Below are 25,316 nucleotides of genomic sequence, written 5' to 3'. Positions count from 1 at the left end.
AATCCCGGCCACTGTTCCTCACGGGGACTGGTTGGGGGGCAGGCTTGCAACCCCTGGATGCATCTGGAGGGGTGGGGACAGGATCGAAGATGCTGGGGAGGGGGAAAAGGGAGACTTGTGACCAAGATGACTCCTTTGCCTGCCTGGGCAAAAATTCCCCATAAAGAGTGGCGAGGGGTGTGCCCTGTGGTGCTGCTCCAAAACCTGCACCAAAGGGAATGATGAAAGGACTAGCTGGCCTTGTAGTTTCACACACTTTAACACGTACGCCACGAAATAACAAAACGAAAGAGAAACACCATTTACACTGATTACTATTATGAGGCCGGCAGTGAGGTAAGTGCACAGTCTGTGTGCCGCCAGCCCGTCCTGGAGGGGAGCCGCGTCAAGTCTGCAGCAGGCGTTTCGCTACGAGACGCTCAGTCCCGTTTCCCTTTCCTGGCACACATGGTTCCTGACTCTTCTGGAAGAATATGATCATGCTTCTGAAAAACTTTTTATTTCTTTTCATTATTAGAGTTCTTTCAGATAAATAAGCTACTTAAACACGTTACACAGAAATGGTTTTCATAAGCACAAAACATTAGAAGAAAACTCAATGTTCAAAACTGAGTGAAGAATATCAACACCAAATATTCAATATCCATGAAAAATTATAGAGAAGCTATAACACGAAAAATGCTTCAGATTTGATAAAGTTTTTTTAAAGATACAAAATTAGACATCCCCTATTAATATCATATAAAACACTGAAGAAAAACGGAGCAGACACAGAAATAATGATGATTGTTAGAGAAAAAAAATCTCACAGCTATCCTAACAAAACCTTGTGTACTACCGCTAGGTTGCTTTAATAGTGTAGAAACCCATACTGAGCAACTAACTGCTAGGAAGTAAATCTAACAGGTTAATTCCAGGCACAATTAACAGAGGAAGTGATTTAAATAATCTAGGACTCCAATAGAAGCCAGGGGAGAAATTCCGCTCCAACACAACAAAGCAAAAAGTAGGACCTGCCCTCAAGACACAGGGTCATGGAGGCCATATGCCACGTGTGCTGTGTGCGCCGCGGGTGCTGTGTGGTGCGTGCACTGTGTGTGCCACATGTGCTCTGTGTGGTGCGTGCGGTGTGTGCTGTGTGTGCCGCAGGTGCTCTGTGTGGTGCACGCGCTGTGTGTGGTGTGTGTGCTGCATGCAGTGTGCGCGCTACGTGTGGTGCATGTGCTGTGTGTGCTCTGTGTTGTGCATGCGCTGTGTGTGGTGTGTGTGCCGCGTGTACTCTGCGTGGTGTGTGTGCTGTGGGTGCTCCAGGTGCTCTGTGTGGTGTGTGTGCTGCGTGTGCCGCGTGTGCTCTGTGTGGTGCGTGCGCTGTTTGGTGTGTATGCTGCATGTGCCGTGTGTGCTCTGCGTGGTGCGTGCGCTGTGTGTGCTGTGTGTGCCGCGTGTGCTCTGTGTGGTGCGTGCGCTGTGTGGTGTGTGCTGTGCGTGCTCTGTGTGGTGCGTCCTCTGGTGTGTGTGTGCTGCATGCAGTGTGTGTGCTACGTGTGGTGCATGTGCTGTGTGTGCTGCGTGTGCCTGGAGAGCCTCCTGCCAGCCGATGACCAGGCGTGGACAGCCCAAGGAACCTCCAATTCACACATGGCTAGAAGAAAACATCTGCTTGCAGAAGCTAGGCTTTGGAGTCACACGGCCGCTTAAACTCCTGTATCAGCCGTGACCCTGAAGACTGGACCAGCGCTTCTGCCAGGCTTCCCATTCCATCTCTAAACCTACTCAAGATGTTCCCCCACAATTTTTGTTTCAACAGATTATAAAACCTGAAGTGGCCAAAATAGTGCCAAGGAGTGCCGCTGTGCCTCCAGGTGGACAGCCTCTGCTTCCCGGTGACTGCCACAGCCAGGCAAGGTGCTCCAGGGACCCGGGGCTCCCATACCAGCCCAGCACCCACTTGGCCAGTTACTCTCCAGGCCCTGGGCCAGGGAGCCGACTATTGATGCTGCGGGTAGTCTTGGCTAACTATTCGGCTTACTGATTTAGTTGGCTCCTAAAAGGAGTATCTGGTTAGAACTAAATGACAGAAAGGAAAGGGAGAGAATCACCTCGTTAAAATAACATTTCGGCCACCACCTGGGCTGAGGACCTATCCATCTGCTCCTTGGTCCGCTCGAAGCACCTACGGGCGAGCTGCTGCTGTCTGGCGTCCTCACTCACCATCAGCTCCCCGTAGAGGTACACACCCATGGCCTGCAGGGCACAGAGGCCAAAGGGCATCAGGCGAAGGTGTGGGTACCCACACACACGCACACATGAGCTCAGTCTGTGCTTGTTCCACACACACTTGCTGGTCTAGAAATTGCAAAGACCCCAGAGAAGACAGAGGCCGTGGGCTGACTGTGCTTTTGGAAGCTGCAGTCTGCAATCCCTGTCTCCTCCTTGTACTCAAAACCCCAAGGAATCCTCAGCTCCCAATTCTCTACACAGACTCTGACGATTTCACTGGTGACAGAACGATGAGCAGGCATTCCCACCATGATGGCCGTGTCAGGAACGCTCTGAACAGACAGAGATGGTTCCCAGAATTACCACGCGGAGAGCCTGTGTGGCATTACAGACACGGGACTCCTGCCCCGCAAAGTGTGTCCCTAGGAGTAGCTGGTCTGAGCTCATCCGGGAAGTCCTTCACCTGCCAGGGAAGCAAAGAGCACAGCAGGCAGCAGCCGCGGCAGAGACACATCACGATGCCCGCAGAGACGCCCACCCCGCCTGCGCCCTTTCCTCCACAGCCCTGCACCGTAGCCCGCACCGGCTCTGCTGCTTGGGAACAATGCCGCAAACACTCACATCTGCATTTTTCCTGTATTTTTAAAATAGCCAAGGACGTTCTAGAAGACCCAAGGGCCCATCTGGATCTGTCTACTCTCTTGTGCCATGCTTAGTTATGCCACGAGTTACATTCCGCTGGAGTAAACTAAAAGAAGGGTCTCAAAGACATCGCAAGAGCAAAACTTCGTAGTTAAGGGTTCAAAAGTGCTTTCCCAAAAAAGTCCAGACATGGTGATCCTTATTTGTCAAAGATCACAATTCTAAATATACTGCAGTGAATTCTGGTCTTTAGAACAGACCATAAAGTTGCTCTTAAATTTTGTCCTTCTTATACTCCTGTATGTTTTTCCAGATACCTCTTGCTCTGCTGTGCAAATGTGACATTTCTTCTGGTACAAAGGCATGTACTTTTCTTTGTAGGAATAATGAGGCCTCAGGCCTCACTGGCTGGCTGTCCCCCACACTGAGACCCTATCAAAAGTCCTTTTGTTTGCCTCACTCCCACTCTCCACCCCAGCTGGAAGGCAGCTCCATGCTGTTACCCACAGTGCTTGACAGGCCACTCATTCAGAGGCAGAGGGGGTGGAGAGTGGGGAAATGGGGAAGGCGTGGGAGGCTGTGACGTGTTACAGGACACACCTGTTGGTGACCTGACACACTGCGGACATCAGAGGCGGCCAATGAAGGTCTCCCCAGATCCGCTCCCACATGCGCACTGCCTGTGAACTCCTAGGAAGGTGACTGCTGTCCCTGGTGAACAGTGAGAAAAGCTCTCACAGGAAGGAAACCCGCCTAGCACAGCACGGCAGGTGCAGGTACAGACCGAGACTGTCCCGTCGGGGCTCTCCCAGTCTGACTTGCACGTGTACTTTAAATGAGGGCCACTGAAATCAGGGATCTACCCCACGGCGTCACCAAGGGACACGCATGGCCTAGCAGGTGCTGGAGATGCCGTGAAGTGTGAGCACGCAGCATCGGATGACGTGTGGGCCACAAGGCGGCATTGAAGGTGCTCAACTCAATCCTTCAAAGACATTGAGAGAGGAAAAAAGCAGCTCAGAAAAATCAGTGTTAGGCAAGATCCCACCAGTCCTTAAGAATCTCTGTAACAGATTTAATTATTTGTTATGAAAGAGATACTGAGAACGTGGATTCCTGTGTGAAGTGCAGGGACAGCCTTTACAGAATCCCCATCTGCTGAAAGATGACACCTACCTGATCCTCCTGAAGGAACCTCTCCACACTTTTGTAGGCTTTCGTGAACTTGTGCTTAACAATGAGTTCACACCACCGATGGCGAACCTGGAGGAACAAGAGAGAGCCCAGTGAGCGACAAGCAGGCAGGCATCCCAGCCCACCGGGCCCAGTGACAGGCAGCCTCTGTATTCCGGAAAGCTGTGCTCTCAAATGGGCTGGCATTGTTGACACACTTAGTTTTACATTTTCTTTTAGTATATTTTTTTTACTTTTTATTTTCTTTGAGACAGAGACTCGCTCTGTCACCCAGGCTGGAGTGCAGTGGCACGATCTGGCTCACTGCAACCTCTGCCTCCCGGGTTCAAGCAATTCTCCTGCCTCAGCCTCCCAAGTAGCTGGGATTACAGGCACCTGCCATCATGCCCCACTAATTTTTGTAGAGACGGGGTTTCACTATGTTGGCCAGGCTGGTCTCGATCTCCTCACCTCGTGATCCGCCCGCCCCAGCCTCTCAAAGTGCTGGGATTACAGGCGTCAGCCACCGTGCAGTAAGTTTACTTTTTAAAGAAAGAAACCACAGTGCTAATTAGGGCTGTTGGTCAACTTTAGAGAGAAAAGCAGGTGTTTCTGTTGGGTGTTTCACTGTTTTAAACATGATTTTGCAAGATGACAGATACTAAACGCAAAGCATAACGGGAAATTCAATGCACATTCCGACCAGGCTGCTGGTGCTCCTTCCTCAGGGTGCTGTGAGTGAGGGTTCCCTTTCAAATCACCACTCCTTAAGTTCCTGCAGCAGATTTGACTCAGTGCTGCTGATTTGTAACAAACACAGTAAGAGGCGGAGACACTGCTCTCTAATTCCCCGAAAGAGGCAAAGCACCCTTCTGAGAGTCTGGGGAAGGAGTAAGCCCAGGACACCCCTGAAGTGGATAGTTCCTGCTGTGTATCCACAGGTGTGTAGGTTTGCACAACATTGAAAACAGACAAGCTAAAGGTGGATGCTGTTCTTTTAAAAGATACACTTTATTAAACGTTCACCTGCAGGAATTCGGAAGGAACCCCCACTCCCACCCTCTTCAAATCTCCGGACACAGTGGAAGAGTCCGATGCCAGCCCTGGCCGCCCTCTGGACACAGGCAGAACCACCTGCGCAAGGTATTCCCCACATCCCGGAGCAGGCGGCATTGCTCGGTGCTGCAGGCACATGCTCTACAAGAAGATTCACCTACCACTTGTTTTTCAGAATCCAGTCCCCTGCCTTTTTCTACTGCATCAAAGCACTCTCAGTTATACCACGTCAACCATTTTATACTCCATCACTGAACCAACATCAGCCATACATAGAAGTGATTATGTGCATTTTAGAAGAGCCTCCTTCTATCACCCCTTGTTTTTACTGACTGTGAAAGAGGGAGATACTCTATAGTAATATATTTGCAGCAATAATTAAATGTAAGCAATGTCAACATTTTGGCGAGGGCCCCTGTAAATGACATCATTATCCACTGACCTAGCCAGATCTCTCCTTTAATCTACTCTAAATAGGTTTACATGCAAACAGTTAAGATTGAAGGAGAGAAACCAATCTTTTGGAAAGAATCCTTCCCCCAGGCCACAGTGCCCTCTGAGAACGGGTGTTAACTCAGGAATTCCACTGGGCGGCCCTGGGCTCGCAGGCAGCCAGGCCCTTTGAAGTGCTGAAGTGGCATGCCTCTGGGAGGGGCTGATAGCCTCTGCCCTCAGAGCAAAAGGGAAGGAGGCTGGGACGGCAAAATCTTTCCACCTTCAACAAAATGTGCTTTCCTGTACAGCCAACAGAAATTAACGACACACTATACAAGAAAGAGTCCCTCCACCTCCCCAACAGAAAGAACAAGTGACCAGAGCTCAAAGAAGTTAGCTCACCATCCCATGCCAGAGGAAGCCGCTAGAAGAAACTGCGCCCAGCTGTGGAGAACCCAAACTGCCCGCTGGACGCCTCCGTCCCTCATCTCTCTTCCAACTCACAGCCACCTAAATGTGCCACCAAACTGCCAGGTCCACACACCAGCAGAGGTGTCATCTGCTGCGAGCTTTGTGAAGATGGGCACCAGCTCCCCAAGGCTGAAGGGCCTTGCAGGCAAGCTGGTGTGGTCTGGCGAGATGGCCACATATGGATGGGAGCGACAGCTGGGGACAGGAGCTGCTGCTCTGAGACTTAGGGAAAGAGCCTATTTTCTTAACTGCACAAAAGAAACCCTACGTGTGCCAGCTTTTAGGGAGGGTCCCGTGCGTGAGACCTGTCGGTTTCTAAGTGTTCTTTAAAGTGTTCTAACAACCAACGCTTGTCTGATCTGACCACACCACACTTTTGGCAATGACTGCTGTCACTCTAAAACTTGGAGGACATTATACAATTTAGATTTGATTGTGAGAATGGAGGGTTTCGCCTCTCCTTTTCTTTCTGTGCTTTCCTTCATCTTATTTACACACACAGAAACAACGAAGCATAAACTGGGGCTTATTTCCTAGTAGAACAAGGCCCTCGGTGGCGGCCGGAGGCAGCGGCAGCCCACAGCTGGTGCAGGTCCAGATGGCGGGTGGAAGAGGCTCTTTCACCACGGATCTGAAGTCAGTATTTCCACGTTTCTTACTGTTAGAAATAGTTTACTGTCAAGATTAATAAGAGACCCAGGCTTCTGACCCCTGGAGGCTAACAGCATCCAGGAAGGACAGACCAAGCCCAGTCTCCCACCCCCACTCCCTTTCCCACCCCATCAAGAGAAGATAAAAACAAGTCTTTTCATTATAAAGAGCTAAGTGTATGTCAATATTTCGGCGACAGGATGCTGAGAAGACATCACAGAAATGCTGCGGGAGGCTGGGCAGGCCAGATAGTTCCTGCTCACGCGCAGTCTTCACTTTTCTTCGTTCCTTTGAGAAACAAAGAAAATCCTTATTTTTATCCCCCAAACTCTCAAGGACCCACAATTCGCATGCCATTCGTCACCACAGGGAGTGGGGATGACATCAGTCTCACTTAAGCCCAGCAGTATTTCCAAAGGAGCCCTGACAGAATATCTGTCTCCAGACCACCGAGGGGCTTCAAGGTCGTGAAAGATGCTCTGCCCTCCTGCATCAAGTTCCTCCGCAGCTGAGAAAGCAGGGAAGCCCTACGGGCCAGAGAGGTGGGGCCACAGAGTTCCACAGCATGCCACCAGAGGACAGCTGTCCAGTCTAGAGGTCTGCTCTTATTTCTTAATTTATTAACGAGGGTGGTCAACGTGTCTTTCTGTAATTTCCTCAGTCAGAATAAAAATAAACAGGGACAGCGCATGCTCCCAGGACGGTGCCTGGCACCAGTGGGCACTCCTCACTGTCTCTTCTGGTCGCCAGCCACCCCGCAGCATCCTGGCGGGGCGACCGGCCTCCCTGTGGACCCGGGCAGTTGTCTTCTCTGCACGATTAGGAAGGAGTTTGCTTTTCAGAGGTGAAAGCCACACTTCCTGGCTGCCTTTCTGCTCCCACCCTGTCTGGGAGCCGGGGCAGTGCTGGAGGCTGGCCCAGGCTCCCCCAGAGCCACAGCACTGTGCTGTCCCGTGCCTAGGAAAGCAGATGCTGGCAGGAGAAACACATAACCTGGGCTCCTGGGGACAGCCAGCTGTGGCTGCCTGCCACAAAGGACACAGAGGGCCGTCTGCAGGGGAGCAGCTGTGAGGGTCAGAGGGACCTACCAAGAGATAGTGTCCCCTCCCCCTCTCCTCCCCAGGCCTGGAAGGTGGCAGGAGAAGAACCTGATCAGACCCTTCCCCAGCCACAAGGTACCTGCACTGGAGATCTGAACTTTAAATCTGAAATTATGATAAGGGCTTGGCTCCCTAGGAGACTGGACAAAGTCCAGCTGGGGATAGGGATGGGAGAAAAATGTAACTGTTTCATTTTAGACCCAATCAAATGGAGACTGATCAGCAAATGAATCACACCCCAAAACAAGTCAATTTCTATTTCTCAGCTTTTTAGAATCCTTTTTTCTAGATTAATATACAAAATACGGTAAGGTCTTCCCCTCATCCCTATGCCCAGAGACTGCCTTCAGTCCCTACTGTGCAGGTGGCCACTGGGCCAGTGTGTTTTACACACACACAATGTATTTTTCCTTTTCCTCCTAACAAAGATAACTTCATGGATTGCATTCCTCTGTACCCTGATAAGGATATATATTTACTTTATATAATTACATTGATTATTTAATAGGATATCTTGACTTACGATTCCCATGAGTGCAGGAAGAGATTCCCCATTCCTTGTATTAATGGTTGCAGGGTAGTCTATGATACTACAAATAATGCTAAGATTAGCGAGACCCTGACAGATAGACACAAGTTTACATCCTAACAGTAAAGACTGAAAACAACCTCTGATGCAATGAAACACAAGGTGTGGGTCATCCGGTGCCCTGAGGTATCTGTGTGCAACTTCCTAGATGTGGGGTGTCCAGATCAGTGTGTACATCTTCACTTTGAGAGGCTGCTAAATTGCCTTCCATGAGGGTGTAGCAATGTACACTCCTGCCAAAATCGACGTGAGACCCCACCTTCCTGTACCATCACCACCACTGAATTACCAAACTTTTGATAAGTGAAAAATGGTGTCCATGAGGTCCTTTAGTTTTTAATTAAGAGAGAACTTGAGGAAGGGACTAATTAGAAAGGTGGGGACAGTATTATGGACACCAGCCAGGTACGGTGAAGTACCAGAGACCATGGAAGCGGTAGCTACCCACTGGCCTGAAGAGGTGTGAGGCTATTTCTGGAACAGAGAGAGCTAGAGCCCTGGGAGGGGCTGCCAGCCTGCAGGAGCGGGAGAGCCCCCATCCCCATCGGGGCAGCTTAGGCATTCTATTACCAGTTGAGTATGGCTGCTTTCTTTTGTTTGTTTGTTTGTTTGAGGCAGGGTGTCGTTCGGTCATCCAGATTGCAGTGGCTCACCACAGACTCCACCTCCCAGGCTCAAGCGATCCTCTGGCCTCAGCCTCTCAAGTAGCTAGGACTACAGGAATGTACCACCACACCCAGCTAATTTTTTTTTAATTACTTTTTGCAGAAATGGGGTCTCTTATTGTTGCCCAGGCTGGTCTCAAACTCCTGGGCTCAAGCCATCTTCCCACCTTAAGCTTCCGAAAGTGTTGGGATTATAGGTGTGAGCCACCATGTCCGAGCATTTTTTTCATGTGCATAAAATCCTTTCTAGTAACTGTCTATTCATATTCTTTACCATGTTTTTCCTATTGGATCACTGGCTTTTTCTAGTTAATCTGTTGAGTGTTTTTGAGTACTAGGAAAATTAGCTCATCTTTGATGAAACTGCAGCTTTTTCCAGGTTTGTCAATCTGTCTGACTTTGTTCATGGCGGTTTTGCTTGTATTTCTTAATTGCATACAGTTATCTGGCTTCTCAGTTCTCTTCATTGATGTTTAATGTTTCATGGGTACATATGCCAAAAGTAATCAAATGGTACACTTCAAATATTCACATTTTATTATATTTCTATTGTCAATATAGTTGAAAAATTTAATGACCTTTAAAACTGTGATTAAAATTCATCAAGTCACTCCAAATCTATGCCAGGAATCACCTGAGAGCCTAGAGTCAGCATGTATTTCAGCCCTACACAGACCCAGACCGCAGACCATGACCAAAGGGGCGAGGGAGGAAAATGATGAAGTTGGTGTGGGAGGGAAGGAGACTGGGCAAGTAGAGAAAGAACAAGACGGCAGAAGGGAAACAGGGACAGGGCACGGAGAAGTGAGAACAGAGCTGCCCGTGGCAGTGAGCACAGGGTCCTGGACACCTGCAGCACCCACACCTCTGCCCTGGATCCAGCCTCTCAAGCACCCAACACCTCACCTATCAAGGATGTGCTCATCTCTTCCCTCTGCCGCTGCCGGTGCTGACGCTGGGCAGCAGACAAGCAGGTGGCCTGGGAGGGGGAAGAGCAGGTGCGGCCTGGGCCTGGCTGGCCTCCTGACCTGCCGGAAGTGGGCGAGAGCTCACATATGAAATAAATCAGCACAGCTCTCGCAAGAAGAAGTGGCATCTGGGTCTCTGGATCCTTTCCATGTCATCACAGTGAAGTTGACTTTTGCACAACACACAGGTGTGCACCCTTGAATGCTTTAGTCCAATAAAAATTACTTTGGACATCTGCTGTTCAAAGTGTTCTGCTTACGGGACATGCTCAACAGAAACAATGACAGTGCTGCCCTCACTTAGCGTACAGGTCGGGGTAACACAGAGGCGCAATTTATACTGTTGGAAAGGGATTCAGCACTTTCCGGGTTTCCAAAGCCTCCATGAATACAGGGTAATGACAGCAAAGATTTCAGCTTCTCCTAAGAGTGCTCCACACAACTGCTTCTTTGAGGCTGGGTGCAGGTGGGAGGGTCTTGGAATCTAGGGTGGGAAGAATGAAGGGCAGGTATGTGGAAGCCAATTCACATCAGACACATATCTGGCAGTAGAGAATTAAAATCCTCAAGGAATCCAAGTAATGGTTCCAGGATTGTGGACCCTACCCCACTGACAGACTGCCACAGGGAGGACGGGGTATGTCTGTGGTACAGGCCTGAGCCACCTAGGAGGCCCAAGCAGACATGCAACCTGGGTATCCAAAAAGCACGTGGAAGGAAGCACACACACAGGCACTGGCTATGAGGATGGGGCTCACTGATTCCAAGCACATTCATGGCAGCCAACTGCATGACAGGCACTGGGAAATGGTGCGGGGCAGAGTGATGGTCAGTACAAACACGTATGCATATCTATGTGTGCATACGTATCCACAAATGTGTATATGTAGAACATATAGACACACACTGAAATCAAAGTGTTATTTCCCAACACTTTCCTTCACTACACGCAATGCAGTCTGGTATTTTTATTCTTTGTTTTTTGTTTTTTGAGACCGAGTCTCACTTTGTTGCCAGGCTGGAGTACAGTGACGCGATCTCGGCTCACTGCAACCTCTGCCTCCCAGGTTCAAGCGATTCTCCTGCCTCAGCCTCCCAAGTAGCTGGCAACACAGACATGTGCCACCACGCCTGGCTAATTTTTTTGTATTTTTAGTAGAGATGGGGTTTCACCATGTTGGCCAGGCTGGTCTTGAACTCCTGACCTCAAATGGTCCACCCACCTCAGCCTCCCAAAGTGGTGGCATTACAGGTGTGAGCCACCGCGCCCGGCCTGCTGGGATTACAGGTGTGAGCCACTGCGCCCAGCCTTCTGGGATTACAGGCGGGAGCCCCCGCGCCCGGCCTGCTGGGATTACAGGCGGGAGCCACCGCGCCGGCCTCTTCTTTCTTTTTTTAAAATGCTGACTGGTGACCTACTAGATGGATTTCATAACCCACTGTGTCTTGACTCCCGGACAGTGTGAAAACCTACATACAAGCTCGGCTTCCAGAGCCTGATGCTCCAGGCTGGACCCTCGTCGGCTCAGGCAAGCTGCTCTAACCAGGCCCCACTCCAGCTCCAGCTCCCCAAGATGGGGGTTAGAAGAGCGTCAACATGCAGGGAGGGCCACAGACAGGCTGGGCTGGCATGAGGTAGGAGGTAGGAACCACATGGCTGAGCAAGAGCCTGGGCCAGGTCAGAGACTCGCAGCAGGACAGCAGAGGGAGCAGGGGAGTCCCAGGAGTAGTAAGGGCCTGGGAAGAGCTACAGCTTTTCAGGCCATCTCCTGGGAGGGAGACCCAGGGACAGGCACCTGGGAATCCTGCAAACCATTTGTAAAGATGGCTCCCTTAGCCTTGCCCCAGCCTCAGCCCCAGCCAGACTCCACTTCTGCCTTTACAGGAAACTTATCACACACTACCCAAGAGGTTCCATGGAGCTGAACTCTGGAAGGCTCAGAAACACAGTGGAGGGGGAAGCCTGCTCTTCTGACTTCCTGCAATGCTAGAAAAATGGCACATGCCTAGAAGGGCCATTTAGAAACCACATCTTGGATTTGGGACACAGGTCCCGTGACAACGGGCATGTCTATGATATAACAATAATTTTAACTAGGATATGGTAAAGGGGCCTCACCCTTATTTGATTGCTTTTTTTCTTGGAAATAGGAAAGCTGCTGAAGCTTCCTCACAACTTGAACCACTCTAATCTCTTTTTTAAAATAATATTTTTTAAGACAGAGTCTCACTCTGTCGCTCAGTCTGGAGTGCAATGGCATGATCATGGCACACTGCAGCTTCCAAATCCTGGGATCAAGTGATCCTCCCACCTCAGCCTCCCCAGTAGCTGGGACTACAGGTGCATGCCACTATGCCTGGATAAGAGTGGGACCCTGTCTCTATAAAAAATACAAAAACTCCTGGGCTCAAGTGATCCCGCCTCAGCCTCCCAAAGTGCTGGGATTACAAACATAAGCCTGGCCCCTAATCTCTTTTTAACCCAAGATATCTTCATGTGTCCAGAACCAGATTCCTGGTAAACTCCAGAAGAGAGGCTGGCAAATTTTTTCCTTCAAGAGCCAGATATTGAGCACTTTTGGCCTTTTGGTCAAAGCAGCCTTAGACAACATGTAAATACGTGGGCATGGCATGGCTGCCTTTGGATAAAACGTTATTTACAAGAACAGGCAATGGGCTGCACAGGCTCAGGCTGGGGTTGGCTGATCCTTGCTCTAGAATGGGTGCCCAAGCTATGGCTCCCAGAGCACAACATACACAGTGGTGTACTGGTGTTCATCCCCCAACATCCACCAACATGATGTCACTGAACACAGAGATGAGGCAAAAGGTGAACAACGGCCCGAGTGGGTTTGGGCCAGCTTTAGCACGACTCCACCAGAAAATCAGAGGTGCTCCTTAATGCTAGTCCTGACACCCTGGGCCTTATTCTTCCCTCTGCAGGTCAAATTCCTCTGTACAAGGAAACATGGTCTGGCATTCATCTTGAATCAGACTCATTAAAAAGGGGCACTGTGTCTTTAGAGTACCCCAATACTGGAGACAGAGTCTGAAAACCAGTGTCTTACAGAAAAATTACTCTGCCTGAAAAATAAACATCATTCACAAGGGCCTGAGCAGACATGGCTACAGGCACGAGACAGAGCAGATGAGCTCTTAAGAACTCAGCCAGTATACCCAACTTGGTTCCAAGAGCTGCGGTGCCACCACCAAAAACCATCAAGACCAAAGACAGGAATGGCCTCATTGTCTCTTCCACGGCAATCCTGGAGCCAGGATTCAGTTTGGTGCATGCTCGTCACCATGCTTAGAAAAGCACGTATGGCTCCTTTTGGTAGCTGCTTTCCTTGCTTTATTTTTAAACATTTAAAAATTATAAGCAGATGACTATACATAAATACGGAACCCAATGTACATGAAATTCTAGCCATTCATGTCAAATTCACTTTTGATGTTTCCAACAGCAACAATTGATACAGATATATATTCAGCATCCCAAATTCAAAAATCCGAAATCTGAAATGCTCCAGTGAGCATTTTTTTGTGTGTGTGTGTGGGGCGGGGGGAGGGTCATGTCAGCACTCAAAAAGTTTGGGATTTTGAAGCATTTCAGAGTTTGGGTTTTCAGATTTGGGAAACAACCAGTTAAGTATAATACAAATATCCTAATAACTGAAAAAAATCTGAAATCTGAAACATTTCTGGTCTCAAGCATCTTGGATAAGGAAGACTTGACCTGTATATTACTTTGGGTTTTTCCTTCTCCCTGCCTGCCACTGTTGCATTTACTGGCATGGTGCCCTTCTGTTAATATACTACAGCTCACTGTCTTTCCGTCTTCTGATGACACTACAAAGTCTCAAGTGTGTCCTAGTAGCCTTTAGCCTTTTAACAAGAAAGCTATGCTGGAGCCAGCAGACAGAGGGTACAAGGAAATCTGCTGTGACACTAGATGGCATTGCTGTGGCCACAGCTCATCCAGCAGACCCAGGTTCACTTGAGTGATCTGACGCGTCCACATCTCCTAGTTCACCTCTGCAGCCCAGAGATCAGCTCCCAGTGTGCCCCCACCGGCCACTCTCAGAGTTGGGCTTGCAGCCTTTCCAGCTCCCACTGCTCTCTGCACTGCCGTGTCCTTCTCCGCTAGTCTGATGTATTTATTTACAGCATCATGCAAGTCTGGGGCATGCATGGGCCTCTGGGCCATCTTTGGGCCTGTCGCAATGCCCAGCACATAGTACATGCTTGATAAATGCTTCTGAGTAAACGTACCACTTGAAAACTTGGAATGCTTTTCAGCCACTCTGAAATTATAATGCACAGTTAGAGGCTATAAAATGCTTTGAAGAATGCCACCAGTCCTATTTATAACAGGAAGCACTCCCCTTTATTTTTAGTCCTTTTGATTTTCAAATTTACTGTTGAAGAAGGAAAAAAAAAATCTGTCCAGGGAACATGATCTGGGAAGCCCATTAAACCTCATTTAGAGTTCCATTTTATTTCTGTAAACAGAAAGACCAGGGCTCATGGCTCTTCTAAGTTAATAAGTCTACCCTGCAATAAACAAACCTGCTTTGTCAATTTGTGTCCTTAAATTAGATTTAACTTGACTTTACAGTGGGCTGACTGGCTGGTAAGGGGGGCCTCTGCAGAGTAGCCACAGGGCAAACGGCATTCCAGTGGGGGACTGCCCCAGGGGCTTCTGGACAGGTGGAGGCCGTCTACCTGCTCAGTCCCATGGAAAGAGGAAAAGAACCTTTCACTGTGTGGTGATCACATCAGGGCTGTCCACATTTGTGTTTTCATTCTTTTCTTTTCTCTCTCACCTTTTCTGCTCCTTATTTCTGAAGGGCTGCAATCTGAATGTTATTTTTTAAACTAAAGGAAATTAAAAGTTACTTTATTTGCTACCGCAAAGCCAGGTTAGTAAATTCCTAGGCACAGGGTTAAGAGGACAAATGAAGCACTGGAGGCTCTTACCACCCTTGCTGGAGTCAATTCCTACAGCTCTTGTCTACACCTTAACTGGTTAGAGCTAAAGCAGCAGCAATGTGCTGCTCAACTGCTACCAGGGCCATCACACTCGACATGCACATGGAGATCATGGTGAGGGTCAAGTGTGATGACAAACATCAAATATTGATGTCAAATACAAACGTCAAGTATGATAAAAGAGGCAACCTTGCTTCACCTGTGTGGTCTTAGACAAATCTTAACTACTTTTGAAAACCTGGAATGCTTCTTATTTTCCTCCAAATAGGCTCTTTTATTTAATAACACTGGTGCTATTAAAGGCTCCAAAAAGTACAACGTGGGAGCCCATGTGGGGTTCACTTTGAAATATGGCACAGTTTGCCTTCCTTCCATACTAAGACTCTCATTGAATGGCTATCCATCTCAATATGTAATTCTGAAATTAGAAAATAATACACCCTACCTTCTTTCTTCAATTTATTGACATGTAACTCACAGCCTTTGCTGAAAGGGACTTTTACTGCTGGCAGAAACAGTGACCATCGTTACCTCCTCTAATAAGCCCTGCAGACACTCGTCCCCTTCCCTCACTTTCCCTGGAGGTGAATTCAGCCTGGAGGACCTCCCCAAGTCTGAGGGATGGCTGACTCTCTCCCATCACCTTGCTGTGTCAGACATGAAATCCGGGTAACATCATTCTCCAGCAAGTAAGTCGATTGGGCATTGAGGATAAAATGGTGACTAAAATAGATAAGCACTTGTCCTCTAGGAGCTTACAGTTCAGTAGGAAGTTTAAGAAAAATCCAGTAAACCAGCAAGTGTAGACTCGTGTTGGTAACAAAAGCCACGAAAGGGTGCATGAGGCAACAGGGAGTGAACAGGGCTGTGGCAGGAGCGCAGTCATAGAAAGCTCCTTGAGAAGGGCCACGCACACTGAGGCCTAAAAAAGGAAAAGAAACCCACCACTCAAAGGGGGCATCCTGAGCCCCGCCAATTTCTAGCCATATCACGTTTTACTCCATGAAAGAAACTCAGCCTTCCCTCCCCCTTCTCTTCTCAGTGGCTATTTCTTCTGATACCCTTCTGTTCAAGAGCTAGAGAAACAGGCTTTTAAAAATAAACCCCAGAGACTAAAGAACTAAAACTATACAACTTTTAGGAAAGACACAGGCATAAATCTTCATGACCCTGGCAATGATTTTCAACAAAACAAAGGAGATACACTGGACTTCATTAAAGTGAAAATTTTTATACCTCAAGGGATACCATCATATAAGAGTATATTTTTGCAAACTGTATTTGAGAAGGAACTCGTATCTAGACTATATAAAGAACTATTATAACTCAGTAATACAAAGACAAACCAATTTAAAAATGAGCAAAAGGTTTAACTAGCCCTTTCTCCAAAGAAGATATGCAAATGGTCAATATGCACATGAAAAGATGCTCAACACCATTAGTCAATACGTGAAAAAAAGGAATGACGACGACAGTGGGGTACCAAGTCACATCCAACAGGATGGCTAAAATAAAAAAGACGGACAACAAGTGCTGGTGGAGGCCGAACCCATACTCACTGCTAGAGAAAATGTAAGATGGTTTAGCCACAGCAGAAAACACACTGGCAGTTCCTCAAAAGGTTAAACAAGGGTTATAATCCAGCAATTCTACTCCTAGGAATATACCTAAGAGAAATGAAAGCATATGTCCACACAAAACCGTACACACATATGTTCCTAGCAGCATTATTCACAATAGTTAAAAGTGGAAACACCCTAACTGTCCATCAGCTGATGTGTGGATCAACAAATGCCATCCATCCATATGACTCAAAATATTTGGCAATAAAAAGGAATGAAGTAATGATATATGCTACAAAGAAGGATGATCCCCGAAAACATTATGCTAAGTCAAAAGAAGTCAGTCACAAAAGACCAAATATTATATATAATTCCATTTATGTGAAGGCCCAGAATAGGCAAATCTATAGAGACAGAAAAATGAGTGCTTGCCTAGGACTGGGGAGCTAGGGATGACAGCCAAAGGGTACTGGGTTTCTTTTGGGGATGACAAAATGTTCTACAAGTGATTGTGGTGATGGTTGTACAACTCTGTGAATATATTAAAAACTACTGAATTGTATACTTTAAAATGGGTGCACTTCATGGTATGTGAATTATAGCTCAAAAAAGTTACTAAAAACAGTTACCCCTCACCCTAAGAACCAAGTTGAGAAAGGCTGTTTCAGCGAAGGGTACTATTCTACACAGTCTACTCTCGAGAAAAACTACCTGGTGCCCTGAGAGCCGAGGCCATGAAGTCAGCTTTGCGCTGGCTGGTTCCCTCAGTGCCTGGGAACTTCCTGTGCCCAGCCTGGGCATTTGCTTCCACCCATGGATGGGCAAAACCAGGTGGTCTACAGAACACAGTTCCATGTGGTTCAAGGTTGCAGCAAAGCAATATGCAGAGACTGAACAGCCTAAAAATCATTTTTAGTGCCACCCCACAAAGTTTAGCCAATCTCTACTGTGTTTATGTTCTAAATATCATACCCTGCCATCCACACAAAATTCCACCATTACACGCAGAGCAGGCCTGGGAACGTGCTTCCGCAAGCTGACTCCGTGCGAGCGGCCTGAACACAAGGGGTAAAGCTCACATCCTATCTGTGCTGTGAGGTTCTCACAGCCTGAAGTCCAGACAGATCCACCTCTCACATCCTGGTGTGCCACAGTTCTAGAGAGCAAAGATGGTGTACATGAAAGCCACCAGAAGGCAGAAAAGCCACCTGGAAAGCTATGTTGAGAGCTGTGGCAGAGTGAGCCCTGTATTTCAGGGCATTTAAGGTATACTTTAAATGGGAATATGGCTAAGTTTACAATTGTAAAAAGAGACGGCAATGTTCAAAGAAAGTTGTGTGGTTTCTGGTGTGGATTTCAGAACAGAAATCCAATACAAAAGTATGTAAACTACTGACTGAGCTGTAAAGAACCCAGAAGCACCAATTAAAGTCCAATGCATTAATTCCACTCGAGAAGCCTTTGGACACACAATGAATATGAGATGCTGCTGGTTTCCTGGCTATACCGGAAGAAGAGCATCAGGGCACTGCTATTTAGACCCCAGAGAATGTGTAAATCTCCATCTCCATCTTTCTGAGAAAATCTATACAGACTGGAGAGCGCCCTATGGAGCAAACACAGAGGCCCTCACATCTTCAGAGGTCGGTAACAGTGGGCCCACTGCTGAACCCTGTGCAAACAGCAGACGGCAGGGACACTCTGCAACCAGTGGCTTTTCTAATAAAGTCTGGCTGAACCTGTAGCTAAAAGCCACCTATTAAATGCCCTCTCTCTTTAAACAGATAAATGCTAAGCTGACCATTTAAGAAAAATTAGCCAGATTATGCTGTCCATGGCTTGCTTCTTCTTTACTTTCATTTGCTATAAATTCACAGTAAACAAAACACAATCTTCAGGAACAACACAGGAAATTATTTATCTAAAAAAGAAAGTTCTTTGTGATTTTAGATCAGCTTTTTAAAAAAAAAATCCCTTTATCACAGTATAACAGGGGAGATGCTGTTGCAGGCTTTCCACAGGAAAGTTCCAGAGGCACTGAATTGAATAACAGAAAGAAAACCCTAAGAAGGATGTACTGAGAGACAGACCGTCCTGACTTTGAAAGAATGTTCTGAAACATCGATTAAATGTTTCATAAACCAAATAAGACAAAGAAAAAATGCACAAATAAAACCAGAGAACTCTATTCTTTCTCCTATCATAAAAAGCAGATGGTGTAAAAAGATATGTCTAAAGTAACTAAAGACAATTACCCCAATCCCTTTTTTCAATCTATACCCACCTTTTAAACTCTAGAAAAGGAATAATGCTCTGTCAAAGGGACAGCCATGACCCTCACAAGCATGGTCTCAGCTTTCTAAAAACCTGAAGTCACACTATTCACAGGCCATGTTCTAAAGTTCAGACTCATCGGTATCTGGCCTCTTGATCTGTAACCTAAGGTTGATGGCATCAATGGGCCAGTAAGCCAGACCCCTGTACCTGCAATCATACTGTGAGAAACGGCCTAATGCTGAGCTTCTGTGGGTTGCCAGGTGGAGGTGGCAAGTGTCAACTTGCCCTTTTGGGATCCCGGGGGGACCTGGTTCCTTGTATTTTACCCTATAAAAGCATTTCACTAATTGCACACACTACTCTGACACTCCACAATGGTGTTCTTTTTCATGTTCAATCTGAAAACCTGCCTTGTAGGGCTCTGTTCCACAATGGTGTCTCCTGACAATGCTGGATGATGACGTGGTGAGCCAGCTGGCTTAGTAATGAGGCCCTGGATTCGCCTGCACCAAGGGCAGCCAGCAGGAGAAGGGGAGGAGAGGAAAAGGGGGCCTGGGTGGGCCCCCTGGACATCACCAAGATGGTGCCGGCGCCTTGGCCGGCACTGCTCCTATTCATAAGCCTCGGTGTCCTACGGGGCAGAGGCCCTGGTGCCAGCACCGTGGTGGGAGAGGCAGAGCTGGGTGCTGCCCTCACACACCACGATGACAGGACCTGACGTCAGCATAGCCAGAGTTTCTGCCTTTATTACGCTTAGACTCTGGATCAAGGCAGACAAGAGGAAGGACTTCTAAGTTCAGCACACTACATATTAATAAATCTAAAGCATCGAGCATCCTGAAACAGCAACAGAGCCCAAAGAGATTATATCTAACCTTTCCTCTAAGCCACTCTGTAACAAAACAAAATAGAAATGTCTTACTTATTTGTAGCCAGAATACTATGAAAAAGCAACCAGGGAAGAAAAAGAAGCTCCAACAGCAGGGAAAAGACCCTCCTGAACATTTCACATCTCCAAGCCCTCCAAAGCAGAAGACGAAAGTCATCTCTAATGGAAAGAGTTCTAGCACTGAAAGGAACGAACAGAACCACAACTATGGATCAATTTTAGAATCTGGAGATGTAACAACCATCAAACCTTCATTCTTTGCCCCTTTGGTAAGTTCCTCTAGAGTTCTATTAATCATTAAGTGCTTGAGTCACAGAACTATGCTTTTGGCCCAAATGAAATTCATAAATGAGCATTAAAGCTGTCACATGATTGTGTTGCTGGACTCACAACTTCCACCTTTGGACTGCAAATAAATGCTATGGTGCTTTCTTCCCAAGTAAACAATGTATTAGTAACAGCATATTAAGATAAATACCAGCTTGTGGACCCGCCCCCTGACCAATGGCTTGTGTACGATGCATCAAAAGAGGTAGACGAGGCCAGGCGCGGTGGCTCACGCCTGTAATCCCAGCACTTTGGGAAGCCAAGGCAGGTGGATCATGAGGTCAGGAGTTCGAGAACAGCCTGGCCAAGATGGTGAAACCCCGTCTCTATTAAAATACAAAAAATTGGCTGGGCGTGGTGGTGGGCACCTGTAATCCAGCTACTCGGGAGGCTGAGGCAGAACTGCTTGAACCTGGGAGTTGGAGGTTGCAGTGAGCCAAGATCGTGCCACTGCACTCCAGCCTGGGAGACACAGCGAGACTCCGTCTCAAACATACAAACAAAAAAGAGGTAGAGGAGACCTAGACCCATTACACAGGGTCTGCAGGGCCTCTTCAGCTACTGCCCGTGCTACGGGACAGGCCTGTGACGCTGGTCGTTTTTTCCATTTCCAATCAACCTGGAGTTTCCTTTCTATCCTGGAAGGCAGCCGGATGAGTGCTGAAACAGGTATGCCCTTACAATCTGTTTCCTCACATTCACTTGCTCCTACTAGTTTAGTTTGCAATTCTACATGAAAGAGTGGAGCCTCCCAAGGTTACATTCTTTGGCACTTTGGGAGAGTATAGCTGTCTTAGGGTGGCCTCTAAATGTTGTTAGCAAGCTTTTTCTAGCTACTCCCCTCTGTGCTGACACCTTACTAAGTTGAGATTTTTTTTTTTTTTGAAACTGCCTTTTGTCAATTAGCTGTAGTCAGTCAGCAGGAAGAGCCGCTCACGTGCACACGAGCACCTGGGGCCAGGCATGAGGGCCAGACCCTGAAGGGAGACCTCCAGTGAAGCAGCACCCCGGAGAAGACACAGTCACAACACACGATACCCACACTTTCTTGCTCCAATCCAATCTCGGAGTCCTCTTCCTTTCAATCAACACTATTTCCCCCACACAGTGAAGGGAAGAACGGGTGCTACCAAATTCTCCCAGAAAACTAATGTTCTTATTAAGCATATCAACCAAACTCAAAGCAGGGCACGCTGCAGCATGGGCCTTTCGGATTCGTGGCCACCAGCAAAACAACACAGGGGGAGCCCATCCCCTGAGGCATGGCCCCAGTCTGAAAGCGCTCAGTGGAGTCTGCAGAGATCTGAAAGCGCTCAGTGGAGTCTGCGGAGATCTAAAAGCGCTCAGTGGAGTCTGCGGAGATCTGAAAGCGCTCAGTGGAGCCTGCAGAGATGCTGCTGCCTGAAGGTCAGTCATGGACTTCCTGGGGGAAAGAGGTCAGAAAGGCAAGGTCCAGGGATCCTCATCTCACTGCCATGGGTAGCTATTTTTACAGCTTAAGAGACCTGCTAAGGCAGGCAGGAAATGTGTTACTTAAAAAGGGATCTTAGATAACATGTTTTGTTCCCAGAGTTAGCTGTCAAATATATTTTTTAAACTTTTATGGCTATTTGAGAAATATACTCAAAAACTGCAGAAAGACAAGGTGCTTCTGTGGAACGGATTTCCCTTCGGCTCATTTTCCGTGCTGGCTGCAGTGGCCCAGCACCCGCCCATAGTCCTGAGGCCTGCTACATACAAGATGGCTGACTTTGAGGTCAGCTTCACTCTCCAGGCCAAGGAGCATCAAGGAGCGCAGCCTGTGCCCGCCCTGCAGAGGGGTGGCAAGGCAGGAGGTAGCCTGGGATGGTTTGCCTACTCCACCCATGCTCTCAACTCTGTCTGTCCTTGAGCACTTTTCCTTTCACATTCTGAACACGGGGGCATTGCCTCCATGAAGAGCATACACCTGGGTCTTCACATCACGTGATGCAGGCACATGGAGGGCAGGCAGGGTGTGCATAACCTGAGATAGTATTCAGAACCCTGGCCCCACAACCCCTCGACATTCAAGCCCTTGGCAAGCAGCCGCAGCAGACTCAGTGCTACACTCAGAAAATCAGACCAACAGATCAGATGCTCTGTGAACACAGCCCATACACAGAAGCACCACACATAGAAAGAATGGTTAATAGTAATCTCGTCCCTCCTTTCTTCCTTCTCTGTGTGGGTGGGCCTGTACCGGCCCATCCACATGAAAAGAGGGAGGGACAGACCGGGATGGCAGCCCAGGAGCTAAAGCAACCATGGAATAGGCTTCTCACTTGCAGCCGCTACATCCCGAACACGCTGCTCAGCCAACAAAACTCCTCAGTGCACTTTGCCATGAGGAGCAGGAACAGCTGGAGGCAGCAAGCTTACCCTTCTGGAAAGGCAGCTTTACATATGCATCTCGGTCACATGTAGAGCAAGGGAAGCCTTTCTGCGTTATCTCAAAAATATAGGGGCACAGAAGGTAAAGAAATCTGCCCCCACCAGGTCCCAAGCACCCCTGCGCTGTACTAGAGATCTGCCCCGTTAGCCTGGGCAGGTGTTTCTGAACCAGCCACCTAATTCAACACTGGCCTTAGCACCCACAGCCGTTCTTCTCAAAGGTTCTAAGAGGTTATATATAACAACTAAGTTGAGCTGCAAGAACAGGACATGTTTTATGCTAAACGGAAGGGGGCCACCTCATGGTTTCCGGACATCAAGTGACAGGTGCCCGGTGCCTGCTCTGATCCTCCCCTCTGGTCTGTCCATGCCCATCACAGGGTCCTGGAGGTTTGGTGGTACTCCACCCTGATTAAAACACAGCCTAATGACTATATATAGCAAAGTCTTTTAAACACTAATTAAAAATAACAGTCTGGCATTTGAGAACTCCTACATACAAAAATATAAGAGCTGAAATAAACAGCAACAGTTGTAAATTTGGTCTATGCTCAGGTGGGTAAAAAGCTACATGTCCCCTCTGGAGTTTTTCAATCACTGTTGAGTTTATGGGGCTTTAAAATGCCTAACAATGGCCATCTTACCTTTTGGTTAATAAGGAACGGGCTTTTCTCAATTACTCCATTTTAATGATTATAAAATTCATTACAATAATATTTAACCTAATATATCCCAAATATCACTAACACTATAATCAATTGGGACACATTAAGTTATTTTGTCTTTCTTCATTCCAGTGTCTTCACTATTCATTGTGCATTTTATACTTACAGCACATCTCAACTCAAAATAGCTGCATTTAAGTGTTTAACAGCCACACATGGCTAATGGCTGCTGTACTAGACTGCACAGTTTTAAAATGTTCAAAACCAAACTTACTTTCTGCATTTTGGGAGTCTTATATAAAAGAGGTTTTCTGTTTAAGCTCTTGTTTTTACTTAAGATGTCTGAATACATTATTTACTATTTTGTATTTTTTTAAAACCCTGGAATTTGTCTTAGGATTCACACTGCATTCCTCACAATAAGGTAGAAGATATTAAGGACTATATCACATTGCTTTCTCGCAAGCATCCAATTGCCTTTTCCAACTACAGCTGCTAGATTTAGTTTTCATTCCCTTTACACATGGCTCCTTTCCTGCCCTAACTGAATGCAACCAAGAAGCTCTGACACATCTGAGCCAAGTTTCCTTAATGTGCAACAGAATGGCACCACCGTCAGTGGGCACAATGACCCACCCAAGTTTACAACTCAAAAACATTCCACTCATTCCTTTAGGAGACTTATGTCCATCTTTATGATTTAAGAAGAGGGAAAAACTTAAGACCTCAAAATACTCTGATTAGAAGCATAAGCATAATCAGATTAAAGCACTTAGTTCTTCACTCATACAGCAAACACATGAGATTTTGCTAATAGAAATGGTGGTTTCAATAGTTTGGGACTGCAATGGGATCACCATTCTTCAACAACAGTGGGGACCTGCTGGTTAAACTCCGAGAGTGTTCCTGGTTACCTCTGCATCCTGATCCTGGAGGTGGTATGTCCTCTGGAGGCTTTGCAGAGTTCGGGGGCTCAGAGTCTTCTGCTCCAAGAGATGCTCCAGAAGCAAGACCAGCTGGTCTGGAAGAAGCTAAAGACAAAACCAAACAGCCTATGAAAATGCCATTCAGTTGATGAGAAACAACACCCAAATGTTCAGACTGAAGACCACATACCCAGGGTAACCTGGGTGCTTTCAGCATATATTGGCAACATGGAAAGACTGTTCGGCTGACTTTTGTAATTCCTCAGGGCCTACATTGTCTGTATTCCCAAAGACACTACATTCTGGGGTCTGCTTTGGCCCCGTTTTCCATGACTAATCATTTCAGTTCTATACTTAGAGCAGATCAAAACTGTGCTTATCTTAATAAAACATTATCGTGGTTTACTGGATCTCTTCCTTTACAGCACGCATACACCAGAAAATGTAATTTAGCCTAGACAAAGATTCAAGGAGCCATCCAATTACAGGCAAACACCTGGAAATTTCACAGAACTAAGATGCGGCATTCAGTCTTTTTACCACATAAGCTCTGCAAATATACCTGCTGCACACTGAGAAATAAAGAGCACATACTGAAAGAACTGTGTCTTCCCTCCATTACGAAAATCATACTTATAATCCATTAAAAAGCTCAAAAGGCTGTACACAACTATATGTGCAGCTATACACACAGACACACAAAGTTACCCATATTCCTGAGTTCTCATACAGGAATGGTCAAAAGTGGTGTTACAAGTTAAGGGCAAAGACAGGAGATAGTCTTAACATGGTACAAAAATAAAACACAATGTATGTGAAATACAAGAAATGAAGAGAAGCATGTGTAAGACTTCATCCGTGTTACTCGCTATGCAACAGCAGGGCCAGGCCTGGTGGCCCTGTGAGATCGGCCCTGTAGTGCACTGGAGGAAGAATCAATTTGAGATATGCCTTGTAGGAAGTGAAAAATATTTACTCTAAAATCAAGATTTTAAAATTAATCCTATGAATTCCATGGTTCTCTCTGCTGAGCTTCTCTCCATCCCTGTGTATGTGCAGATCATTCCTGTCAATCCCAATTACAGGTCTGGAAGCTGATATCAAGTCAACAGTACATTCATAAGAACACCTGGATTTTAACTGCCACTTTCTGGTGTTCTAAAACAATTTTTAAAAAGTACTGGTTTCCCTCCCTGCTCCTCATCTTTCTGCCCCCAAGTGTGCACTCTGCCTGACCCTCCCTACCCCCTACCCCCTTACCCCCTCACTCATTCACACACACATATACTTTTCCAA

At 47.1% G+C, this 25,316-nt stretch overlaps 1 protein-coding gene and 1 non-coding gene across 35 annotated transcripts in view, besides 1 other annotated feature; both read right to left on the bottom strand.

Annotated features, from left to right (window-relative positions):
* Nucleotides 1-25,316, bottom strand: part of AOPEP (aminopeptidase O (putative)) — a 423,526-nt gene that overhangs the window by 65,406 nt on the left and 332,804 nt on the right. For 13 of the 34 annotated variants that reach the window (NR_169862.1, NR_169864.1, XM_011519121.4 and 10 more), the window contains 2 exons: nucleotides 24,009-24,125; nucleotides 4,039-4,125 (listed from right to left, as the gene is read on the bottom strand). Coding sequence is in view for 23 of the 34 variants with exons in the window: in XM_011519121.4 (XP_011517423.1) it covers nucleotides 4,039-4,125; nucleotides 24,009-24,125 (204 nt within the window). In the remaining 11 variants the exon portion in view is untranslated. Of the gene's footprint in view, nucleotides 1-483; nucleotides 2,684-3,646; nucleotides 3,848-4,037; nucleotides 4,126-24,008; nucleotides 24,126-25,316 lie in introns of those variants that run through there. The other 21 variants (NR_169863.2, NR_169865.1, NR_169866.1 and 18 more) reach the window with 9 other exon arrangements.
* On the bottom strand, nucleotides 19,373-19,469 carry MIR6081 (microRNA 6081). The gene has a single exon (NR_106729.1). It is a non-coding gene; the product is annotated as a microRNA 6081 (primary transcript).
* Nucleotides 21,332-22,041: an enhancer, noted in NCBI's record as "H3K27ac-H3K4me1 hESC enhancer chr9:97825060-97825769 (GRCh37/hg19 assembly coordinates)". NCBI's record gives its function as "activates a minimal SCP1, AML or CMV promoter by ChIP-STARR-seq in primed H9 embryonic stem cells {active_cell/tissue: H9 hESC(primed)}" and the evidence as "EXISTENCE:reporter gene assay evidence [ECO:0000049][PMID:30033119]".

This window comes from Homo sapiens, chromosome 9 (assembly GCF_000001405.40).
Source record: "Homo sapiens chromosome 9, GRCh38.p14 Primary Assembly".
Lineage (NCBI taxonomy): Eukaryota > Metazoa > Chordata > Mammalia > Primates > Hominidae > Homo > Homo sapiens.
This window is presented reverse-complemented; position numbering and strand designations above follow the sequence as displayed.